The sequence below is a fragment of the Homo sapiens genome, chromosome 6, assembly GCF_000001405.40.
Source record: "Homo sapiens chromosome 6, GRCh38.p14 Primary Assembly".
Classification (NCBI taxonomy): Eukaryota; Metazoa; Chordata; class Mammalia; order Primates; family Hominidae; genus Homo; species Homo sapiens.
In genome coordinates, this window is record NC_000006.12 from 76,067,189 (window position 1) to 76,079,889 (window position 12,701).

The 12,701-nt window shown below is 34.9% G+C and overlaps 1 protein-coding gene across 2 annotated transcripts in view; it reads right to left on the bottom strand.

Moving 5' to 3' along the window:
• Positions 1–5,474, bottom strand: part of IMPG1 (interphotoreceptor matrix proteoglycan 1) — a 151,549-nt gene extending 146,075 nt beyond the window's left edge. For both annotated transcript variants that reach the window (NM_001282368.2, NM_001563.4), the window contains exon 1: positions 5,234–5,474. In NM_001282368.2, the coding sequence (NP_001269297.1) occupies positions 5,234–5,300 (67 nt within the window). In that variant the 5' untranslated portion in view covers positions 5,301–5,474. The remainder of the gene's footprint in view (positions 1–5,233) is intronic.

Genomic DNA, 12,701 nt, shown 5'->3' on the forward strand with positions numbered 1-12,701 from the left:
AAGGAGAACTAAATGAAATGGAGACTAAAAAAAAAATAAAAAGCATCAATGAAATGAAAAGTTGTTTCTTCAAAAAGCTAAAGAATATTGAAAGACTGCCAGCTAGATTAACCAAGAAAAAAGCAAGAAAATTCATATAAGCACAATCACAAATGAAAAAGACAACATTACTACTGATACCACAGAAATACAAAAGATCATCAGAAACTTCTGTGAGCATCTCTACCCTCACAAACTTGAAAACCGAGAGGAAATGGATAGATTCCTGGAGACATACAACTTCTCAAGGTTGAACCAGGAAGAAATAGAAATCCTGAATAGAACAATAATGAATAGTGAGGTTGAATCAGTAATAAAAAAATCTCCTAAGAAATAAGAGCCCAGGACCAGGTAGATTTACAGCTGATTTCTACCAGACATACAAAAAAGAATGGGTACCAATCTTACTGAAACTATTTCAAAAAATCAAGGAGGAGGGAATCCTTCTTAGCTCATTCTATGAAGCCAGTGTCACCCTGATACCAAAGCCAGGCAAGGACGCAACAAAAAAAGAAAACTAAAGACCAATATCCCTGATTAACATAGATGCAAAAATCCTCAACAAAATAGTAACAAATCGAATCCAACAGCACAAGAAAAAGACAATAACCATAATCAGATGAGCTTTATTCCAGGGATGCAAAGACGGTTCAGCATATACAAATCAATAAATGTGATTCACAACATAAACAGGATTAAAAACAAAAACTATAAGATCATCTCTTTAGACACAGAAAAAGCATTTGATTAAATATAGCATCACTTCACAATAAAAGCCATCAAGAAACTAGACATAGAAGGAACATACCTCAAAATAATTAAAGCCGTGTATGACAAACCCACAGCTAACATCGTACCGAATGGGGGAATATTTGAAAGCATACCCCTAAGAACTGGAAGAAGACAAGGATGCCCACTTTAACCACTCCTATTCAACATAGTGCTGGAAGTCCTAGCCAGAGTAATCAGGCAAAAGAAAGAAATAAAGTATTCCAAATTGGAAAAGAAGGAGTCGAATTATCTGTTTGCTGCTGATGATATGATCTTATACGTAGAAAATCCTAAAGACTCCTCCAAAAGACTCCTAGATTTGACAGATGAACTCAGTAAAGGTTTGGGATACAAAATCAGCCCATAATATCAGTAGCATTTCTACACACCAATAATGATCTACAAGGAGAGTTACAGAACACTGCTGAAAGAACTCAGAGGTGACACAAACAAATGGAAAATCATTTGATGGTAATGGCTTGGAAGAATCAATATTTTTAAAATGTCCATACTTTTTTTTTTTTTTTTTTTTTGGAGACAGAGTCTTTCCCTGTTACCCAGGCTGGAGTGCAGTGGCATGATCTCAGCTTACCGCAATTTCCACCCCTGTTGAGTTCAAGTGATTTTCCTGCCTCAGCCTCCCAAGTACCTGGGATTATAGGCACCCATCACCATGCCTGGCTAATTTTTATATTTTTAGTATAGGTGGGGTTTCACCATGTTGGCCAGGCTGGTCTTGAACTTCTGACCTCAAGAGATCCGCCCACCTCAGCCTCCCAAAGTGCTGGGATTACAAGCGTGAGCCAACGCACCAGGAAATGGCCATACTTCTTAAAACAATCCCCGAATTCAATGCAATCCTATCAAAATATCAATGCTATTTTTCACAGAATTAGAAAAAACAATACTAATATTCATATGGAACCAAAAAAGAGCTCATATAGAAAAAACAACAAAAGAACAAAGCTAGAGGCATCACATTTATATTATACTACAAGGCTATAATAATCAAAACAGCATGGTACTGATATAAAAAGATATATATAGAATGGAACAGAGTAGAGAACCCACATACCTACAACCAGTTCATCTTTGACATAGTCGACAAAAATATACACTGGGGAAAGAAGACACTATTCAATAAATGGTACTGGGAAAATTGGATAGCCATATGGAGAAGAATTAAACTGGACCAATATCCCTCACTGTATATAAAAATTAGCCCAATAGAGATAAAAGACTTAAACATGAGACCTTAAAACTCTAAACATTATAAATGGAAACCTAGGAAAAACTCTTCTGGACATTAGCCTACACAAAGAATTAGTTACTGAGAACTCAAAAGCAAATGTAACAAAACCAAAAACAGACAAATGGGACTTAATTAAAGTAAAATGCCTGTGCACAGTAAAAGAAATATTCAACGGAGTAAATAGATATCACACAAAATGGAAGAAAATATTGGCAAATTATGTACCTAACAAAGGGCTAATATCCAGAATCTATAAGGAACACAAACAACTCAACAGAAAATACTAAATAACTTCCTCAAGAAGTGGTCAAAGAAGACTTCTCAAATAACTAAAAACAGAACTACCATTTGACCCAGCAATCCCATTACTGGGTTTATATCCAAAAGAAAATAAATCATTCTACCAAAAAGACACATACACTTGCAAGTTCATCACAGCACTATTCACAACAGCAAAGACATGGAATCAACCTAGGTGCCCATCATTGGTTGATCAAAAAAAAAAAAATGTGGTATATATACACCATAAAATACTTTGCAGCCATAAAACAAACCAAAAATGAAATCATGTCTTTTGCAACAACATGAATAAAGCTGGAGACCGCTATCCTAAGTAAATTAATGCAGGAACAGAAAACCCAATACTGCATGTTCTCACTTATAAGTGGGAGCTAAACACTGGGTCCCCATGGACATAAAGATGGCAACCATAGACATTTGGGACTACTAGAGGGAAGAGGGCAAGAAGGAGACAAGGGTTGAAAGTCTTCCTCTTCAGTACTGTGCTAAGTACCTGCATGATGGGGTCAATTGTACCCCAAAACTCAGCATCATGCAATATACCTATGTAACTAACCTGCACATGTATGCCCTGTATTTAAAATAGAAGGTAAAATTATTTTAAAAAATTAACAAAGAACATGAACAGATATTTTGCAAAAGGAGACATACAAATGGCCAACAAACATATGAAAGAAAGCTCAATGTCACTAATCTCAGAGGAATGCAAATTAAAACCACATTGAGATACTATCTCACATAAGTCAGAACGGCTATTTTTCAAAAGTCAGAAAATAACAGATGTGGAGAACAGTAAATGCTTATGCACTGTTGGCAGAAATGGAAATTAGTACGACCTCTATGGAAAACAATATGGAGATTTACCTAAGAACCAAAAATAGAACTACCCTTTGATCCAGCAATCCCACTGCTGGGTATCTACCCAAAGGAAAATAAATCATTATATCAGAAAGATACTTGCATTTGAATATTTATTGCAGCACTATTACCAATAGCAAAGATAGGGAATCAACCCTAGTGAACGTTAACTAATGAATGAATAAAGAAAATATCGTTATATATTAATGGAATGCTACTCAGCCAAAAAAATGAATGAAATAATGTCTTTTGTAGCAACCTGGATGGAACTGGAGGCTGCTCTCTTAAGTGAAATAACTAAGAAACAGAAAGTCAAATATCACGTGGTCTCATTTATAAGTGGGAGCTAAATAATGTATACACAAGAAAGACATAGAGAGTGGAACAATAGACACTGGGCATTCAAAAAGATGAGAGAGTGGAAGGGGAATGAGGGATGAAAAATTACCCAATGAGTACAATGTACCCTATTCAGGTGATGGTTACACTAAAGCCCAGATTTCACCAGTGTGCAATATATGGGTGTAACAAAACTGCACTTGTACTCCCTAAATCTATATTTAAAAAAAACAAGTAACATGTTAGGATTTTTTATTATGCAATTACTGGACATTGTTTCCTAGAAGTAAGCATATAACAAATGGCAGTTTTCTTGATAAGCTTATTTCATTTCAATTCCTATATGTATAATATATTACATATATTAAATTATATGTATATGTAATACATTAGAATTATAATTATATGACATATAATTGTTATATATAAAAATTATATATAATTATATATTTGGAATTGTGTATAATAGCTGATATGCAATATATGAAAATAGAAAAAATCGTTAAATTAACAGAATTAATGTAACAAAAAATTTAACACAGCTGAATTGCTTGATCAAGTCTACGAAATAGTCAAATTGGTTTACTTCATCAGATTCAGTTCAGAATATACCAAAATCTCATTATTTATTTCTAATTAAAATGATTTTATAAATGTAAATATTTATATATAATTGATAATTTAATGAAAAAGTAAATAAATTTTGCTTCTTTCACTATTGTGAAAACATGAAGAAATCTTTTCCAGAAATTTTTTTCTCCCTCCAAATGCAATCACTGAGAAGTTTCATATAACATGACTGATGGAATCACAGTTATTTTGTGACTTACACATGCAATGACTATTAATTTTACTTTTTCATGGATATTCCAAACCAATACTTTAGTTAAAATGTTTATCATCATGAAGCTATGTCATTCTTAAAGAAATTCTTAACCTTATTGACTTCAAATGTCTTAAAAAGATTGAGTATATTATGATAGGTAGGCTTATCCTTATATAAAAAAGTCAAACTTTCTCCAACATGTGTGTTTCTTTTTTAAAACACACATTATTTTTCTTAAAACATCCTGTTTGTGGCTTATTTTAATTTCATATTCAGATGCAGATTTGCCATAAGAACATACATTGCCTAGTTCTTTTATGCGTACAACTTCAAAAACAACCAAATTTTGAAGTGGTTGTCATCATGAACCCTGAAGATGAAGAATGTTTGCTATTTTCTAAGGGAAAGCAACTCATGATTTCATTGTGAGAAGGTAAGAAATACTTACTTTTTTTTGTCTGACCATAAATGACTTAAAACATTACTTTTATCTTTAGGTTTTATTTGTTGAATTTCGGTGGATAAATGGAGTTAGTTTCACAGATCTACTAATATTATTTACATTAATAATAAGAATTTTCAATGAATGTTTTAGAACAGCAAATAGGATGCATTCATCTCTCCTATTTTGTTAATCTTCACTGCACTTAAGACCATGTAGTAAATATTAAATCAAGTGAAAATCATTTCTGATAGTTAATTATTCAATCAATCAAGCAATATTTATTCAAGGCCTACTATATACTAGCCCGTGAGATCAATTGGTAGCCTTGTTGGTTCTAAATATTCACTTCTATCGGTAGATTTTATAGATAAGCAATTTAAAAGTAAACATTTAAGTAACTTACCTTTGGTTCCTTGAACTTGGAGAAAAATCCAAAAAACAAAAATAGCTCTTCTAGTTTCCAAATACATTCTGGCTTTTGTGCATTGGTAATTCTGATAACAATCACAGAACAACCTCAAATCTCATTAAAAAGTAACAGAAATGTGAAAAATAATTATATATTGATACCAGATGATTGAGGATAACCTTCTTGGTTTACCTTTATGAGGGTGTTAATTTATGAAGAACATGTAGCAGTGTCTGTTTCTGGAATAATCTGCTTGTCTTTCCCTCAGGTGTAATCTCTGCTTAAGGGCCAGCTGGAGGAACCTTTATCTCATTAACCTTCTGGAGGAGCATCTGTCAGCCTAGCTCCAGGACCCTGAATGCCATTATAAACAAGTGTCTACAGACACAGTTTTTTCTTAGTTATTCACCTGTTACAGTGACACAGAGAGCCAGGGGAAGTTCTGCCAAACAGAGAATAAGGCTGACAGTTAGGGTCAGATGTTTTCTAAAATGACATGTACAAGAAACATCCATTAAAAGAGCTTAATTTCTGTCCCTGAAAGTATATGGTTATCCAATATGTATTAGTCTCCACAGATAGCGAAACTGTCTCCATTCTCTTCTATGTTCTGCTTTATAAATTGCTTTTGATTTGGAATTACATACAGGTGGCTTTTTTGATTTAAGTCTGGTTTTAATGTTTAAAATCTGTATGCACTGTGTTTAAGGGGTCAAATACTTTTTTTCTACAAAGTTTGTAAGAAAAAATTGTGCCTTTCTTCTACCCATGCCTTCTTTCAAAGGGGAGCCATTTTTACTTCATCAACCTAATTCTTCTAGTAGTCTCATTTGCACTTCTAAATAACATGCCTCTATTACTATTTTGGAGGTTTTCACTTTTAGGTATTATCAAATAATAGATATTGAGAATAACTTCACTTCCACACATACCCTTTCTACTCATTGTAAACATCTTTCCATCTTTCTTCATCAGTATTATTGTAATTTCAGTTTTTGAATATTTGATTTTATATTATTTTGACTATACATGCTACATATTGCTGAGTCATGAAACACACTGCAACTACTACTGTATATGGAGCTCTTGTGTTGTGGATAGACATTGTTCTTAGAGATGTCCATAGATTATCCATAGATTCCTCAATATGACAATATAAACACTGTTAATACTATCTCTTTTAAATTTGAGGAGAATAAAGTATATGTGGCAGAGCTAGGATTTAAACCTAAAGAGTCTGGTTCAAAAGCCTACACCCTTTTTTTTTTTTTTTTTTTTTTTTGAGATGGGGGTCTCACTCTGTCACCCAGGTTGGAGTGCAATGGCGTGGTCTTGGCTCATTGGCTCATTTCAGCCTCAACTTCCATGGGGTCAGGTGATCCTCCCACCTTAGCCTCCTGAGTATCTGGGACTGTAGGCAGATGCCACCACACCTGGATAATTTTTTGTATTTTTTGTAAAGATGAGGTTTCACCATGTTGCCCAGGCTGGTCTCGAACTTCTGGGCTCAAGTGATCCAGCAGCCTTGGCCTCTCAAAGTGGTGGAATTATAGGTGTGAGCCACGCACCTGGCCAAGAGCCTATACTCTTCACCACTATCCTTCTATGATACTTTTTGCATAGTCTCATTAAAAAAAACTTTTTTTAGTTTCTAAATACAAAATAATAAATTATCCCCAAATATTCCCCTGGATATGTAAATCTCTTCACATAAACACTTCAAATAGTCTGTCTTTCCCAGGGCTTTCTAACCCTCTCCAGTCTGTATTATTTAATTTCTTGTCATTGTTCATAGCAGTCATCTGGGGATTGCCCTTCACAGTCATCCTGAGGATTCCTTCAACCTCTTTCTTGTGTTGGATCTTGTGATTTCTGGATCCTGTATTGTCTTCTTTCTTAACTTAATCTCTTGTTTTAGCGGAGCAACTGCTCTAGTACATTACTGAAAGTTTGTGGTAGGTAAATTTAAAATCTTACATGTTTGAAAATGGTTTCCATCTGCCCTCATACTTGTTTGATAGTTTGGCTGGATATAGAATTCTGGGTTGAAAACAACATTCATTTAGATATTGAAAATGTCAGCTGTAGAAATTCTAAAACTTTATTACTGTTGTCTTCTTTCTCGTGGTTTGTTGTGGCTTTATACTTAAAAAAATTCCTTAAATATTATTTTCTTGGGGTATTCAGAGGTGGTCAAAGGGAATGGATTTTTAGCTCTTACCTTCAACTACAGATTATTTTGGTAATATTTAAAGAAAACTACCATCAATCGGTATATAAGCCTGCTTATAACAATGTATTTGAAAATGAGAAATGAACTAGGTGGAAGATGAATCTATTTTTCCCTAATTATATGTAGAAAAAATGATATTAGAATGCAATAGACTAGATACATACTTATACATAAGTATTTCTAAAATACATTCATATTAGTTGAAGAAATACTTCTCTCTTGGTTTGCTATATAGTTCTATGTTATACTTACATTTCTAACCCTGTTATGAAACATTTCTTCTTTCTCTAGGAAAGAAACCAACAATTTCAATTTCCGAAAACAATTTCCTCTTAATAGTTTTCTTAATGAAATGTGTTGCTTAAAGAAAAATATAGGATAGACTAATTTGTGTTCAAGAAGGTATCCTCTATCATAGATATGAATATAAAAGTATTTAATTTGTTTTAAAATAACAAATATTTAAAAGTTTCTCTTGATGGCAGTACCTTATGCATTTTTCCTACTTTTGATGAAAAATCTGGGTAACTAATGTTGATAACTCCCACTTAGATAGCAAACAAGAATGATAAGCATTCATTATTCCCAAGACCATGCTTTCTGGGACCATCAAGTTGTTCTCTAATTACTGTTGTGTTTAATTTTGGGTCACTGTTAATTAATCCAGAATTGCTTCTTCAAGGTGGTTGACTGTCAACTATAATTGTATATTCTTAAAGAGATAGGCTTTCCCCTGTATTTTCTGGCAGAATTTCAGTGGTGCATTTAAAATGTACAAGGTAGAGTGGAAAAGGCAGTGTATCTTTGCAGATATATTCCTTCATCTGAAATCAGTAGATATAAATAATAAGTTTTATATTAGTAAATTTTCACACTGCTATAAAGAACTACCTGAGATTGGGTAATTTATGAAGAAAAAAAGTTTGACTAACAGGCAGGCTTAACAGAAAGCATGACTCAGGGGTTGCAGACAACTTACAATCATGGTGGAAGGGGAAGAAAGACCTGTCTTCTTATGGCGGCAGGAGAGAGAGAGGAACTGGGGCAATGCCAGACTTTTAAACCATCAGATCTTGTGAGAACTCACTCGCTATCATGAGAACAGCATGGGGGAAACTGCCCCCATGATCCGATCACTTCCCACTGGGTCCCTCCCCTGAAATGTGGGGAATACAATTTAAGATGAGATTTGGGTGGAGGCACAGAGCAAAACCATATCATGTTTACCAAAATGAATAAGTTAATATCACAAAGAAATGATTCCTTTTGTTAATCAAAATAGACATAATTTTTTGAGTTCCTATTAAATATAAAACTCTCAATTAAGTGCTTTATATGCATAGTATGACATTTTCTCAGCACCCTCATGAGGTAAGTACTATTTTTTAATTAAATTTTATTAGAGATTTTTTATTTTTTTGTAGAAATGGGGTCTCACTCTGTTGCCCAAAGTGGCCTCAAACTCCTGGATTCAAGTGATGCTCCTGTCTTGGCCTCCCAAAGTGTTGGGATTACAAGTGTGAGCCACTGCACCCAGCTCTCAAGTACTATTTTTATTTACATCTCACAGATGAGAAAACTGAGAGTTAGAGATGGTGAGTACATTATTCAACTATGCAACTAATAAAACTGAAGCAGGTTTTCCACCCAAGATCTCTCTACTTTCAAAGCCTATGTTCTTTCTACTGCTCCTCACTATGTTCTCTCTACAGGGAAAACATGCTGAGAAAGTAACTGATACTCACTGGACAAGTTAATGACACTGAACAGAAGAGAAGCCATTGAAAAGGCAGGGTCCTATCAAAAGTTCACTGTTTACATTGATCTTTTCCTTCACATTACATCTACTGACTTAAACTTAGGTAAGGTGACTACCTAGGAATCTAGAAAGTTTCTGTCTCTGGAATGGTGTAGTCTTTTCTTTGGTAGTAGGACTAATGTCCTCTTACTGTTTCTAGGTTTCTCTTTGCTCACATTATTGGCTGTTTATTTGTCTCTCCAATCCAGGCAGGCACAGGGGACTCTTGAAACATTTCTATCACCATTAAAATGTGTAATTAGTCAGGAGTAGCTGAACTTCTCATAGAAGTAATCACTACTAGGAGGAGCAGTTAGGCACTACCATATGTATGAAATCTGTAATCTGGAAGGAATAGGTTCTATTAGTTATGAAAAAACCCTAATGTCCTCACCTGTATTTCTGGATGTTTTGAAGAAATGCCTTTCTTGTTAATAGAAGATTCACTATCTGTAGCTCAGAGAGTTTTCCCTTCATTATTATTCGTAACTTAGAAATTAGGGATATACTACACAGAAACACAAGGGTAACATTAATTGGGATGTCATCTAAGGTAGGCTTCCATCCCTTGAGTTTACCCTCTGGATCCATCTCACTTTGGCTGTCAGCTAAAAACTACAGGATTAAACAAAAAGCGATTTCTCAGACATAATGAGGGAGAAGGAAGGGATGGAACCTACCAAAAGCTGACTGCACTAGAGCAAGAATGAAGGGAGGCAACCATAGAGCCTCAAGATGACAGTTTTAGTGAGGATGAGATTGATAGCAGCCCAGGTACAGAGGTCCTGCATCCTTATCCACATTCATTATCTTCTCAGAGGCCTCTTTAATTAATCCCAGTGTGGGAAGGGTTGAATGACCCCATCCTCTTGTGGAGAAAAAGCAGGTCAGCCTTCCTCCAAGGGCTCCTAACATAGGGTTCTTTCCTGTCTTGCTTCCTTGCCCCTCTCCAAGTTCTTGGTAATAAATACAGCAAATACAGAATAAACTGATTTAGTCTGTTGGTAAACATAATCATAAGCCACACACTAGAAAAGCACACAAGCAGGTAACATTTTTTAAAATCTTAAATGTGTCAATCTGCGTGTATTTTGACATGCAGATTTTTCAAAAATAATTAGCCACAACTGCTAAGAGAATCCACGTTTGGTCTCAGCAAGTTACATATATTCCCTTCTATATGTGGTTGAAGAAGTCATGATAAATGTTGCACATTCTAAGAGCAGAGTGACTTGAATTGAGAGACATTAAAACCCAGTTTAAATGATGCTGCTGAAATATCTTTGTGGTTTGCATTCCTCCAGTGTTTATTGTCTGAGCACTTAGGCACACGGCAAGGAAGAGTGAATAGTTAGCAGAGTCGAGGGCTGAAAAGAAAATCAAGAAGATTAGTGCTGAGGAAACTCTGTTAAAACTGTGATAAGGAGGAATCTGTGACCTTTGAGAGGCCATTTCAGTAGCTTAGTGGGGAAGGAAGTCAGCCTGCAGTACATTACAGATTAATTGGATGGTGAAAAAGAGACAGTGAGTGAGACTTCTCTTTATATAGTCAAACAGCAAAAGATGAGAGAGAATTAGTTTAATAAGCTAGTCAGGAAAAAAAACAAGTTTTTTTTTTTTTTTTTTTTAAAGTATTGTTTAGAGGTAGAGCAAGAGGCATGGTGGAAGTGTGTAGCACAGCTAAGGGAGAAAGAGAGAGAGAGATGGAGATCGAGTTCGAGATCTGCTAGTGCAAGATTTTGTCTGCTTAACAAGCACTTGCTTAAAAAGAAGTTCCTGAATTGCTTCACGTCGTAGGACTCAAAAAAGTGTTAGAGCATGAAACACATAGACATATGCTCTGCAGGGGCATACAATCTAAAAGTGATACAATGCATATAAAGATGATGAAATGGGGTTACCAGCTCAGCACCTTTCAAAGTGATGCCACACAAAAAATGCTAGCCAAACCACTTTAATCATAATAACAAATATTTTTTGAGTTTTAAGCCCTTCAGATGTCTTTAATTTCTATATTAACCATATTAGGTGATTACTATTGTCATGTTGCATATGAGGACATTAAAGCTATGGGAGGCTAAGGAAGTTCTTACTGTCTCATAGCTAATAAGTGATTTAAGCACAGTCCCTGATCACAAGTTAGAACCCTACACTTATTAACTACAGTCAAAATGAGTGAAATGCATGACCTCAAGTCTCAAATAGAAATTCAGCAAAGAAGCCACACTCCAAACATGCTACTACAATCTTCAATGACTTTTAATTCTGATTAACACCACAGTTTTAAATACTAGCATAATGAAGGATAGAGTTGGGCATTAATTGGTGAAATTAGTGGCTTGTTAATTAGATCATGGAAATGGGCATGTACTAAGTGAGATTAGCAATAGTTAAAATTTGTGAATTGGTTAAAATATTTTAGAAAGATTTCCTGTTCTGACACTAGTCTATTGCATCACTCTTCATTTTTAGGATGAAGTTGGAAGCTTGTTCCTTCAAGAGTCCTGTTGCCTAGTCATATCTTTGGAGGATGATGAAAATGAGGTCACTTAAATTTGCCTCTAGACTGTCTTGCATTTGTACCAAAGAAAGCTCACGTAAGGCATGGTTGGAAGGACTTCAATTTTTTTTTTGAAACCAAAGTGGGATTTCATTGAACTTACAGAACAGGCAGTATGGTCTACTTGAGGACTACTTACTAATATGTGCTAATTTAACAATAGTTTGCATGTGTGGAAGATTGTTGTTTGATTCTTTCTTTTACTGAAACCTGGTAATAAGGTTGTAGGAGAGCAGCTATCTCTAAACCACTTCCAACTATTAGGGCCCATATAACGTACTAAACAACCTGTCTGTATTTACCTAAATTGGCCTAGATCAATTTAACACATAACTTTGTGAGTTTTCTCTATAAATTAACTTCCCAGTTTACAAAAAAACCATTCTTCACCTTCTTCTTAATACTACCATCCTGATTATTACCTTCCCAGACTTCACCTATCTGCCCTCTAGTTTTACTGAGAAAATAGGTATAGTCAGGAAGTCCTAGCAAGAGCAATCAAGAAAGAGGAAGAAATGAAAGACATCAAAATAGGAAAAGAAAGCAACTTGTCTCTCTTCACTGATGATGTGATTCTATACCAAGAAAACCCTAGACTCTGCCAGAATGCTCCTGGGATGGATAAACAACGTCAGTAAAGTTTCAGGATACAAAATCATTGTACAAAAATCTAGTATTTCTATACCCCCAAAACATTCAAGGTGAGTACCAAATCAAGAATGCATTCTCATTTACAATAGCCACACACACAAAAATGAAATATCTAGGAATACATCTAACCAAGGAGGAGAAATATCTCTACAAAGAGAACTACAAAACGCAGCTTAAAGAAGTCAAAGATGACAAACAAATGGAACAATATTCCATGCTC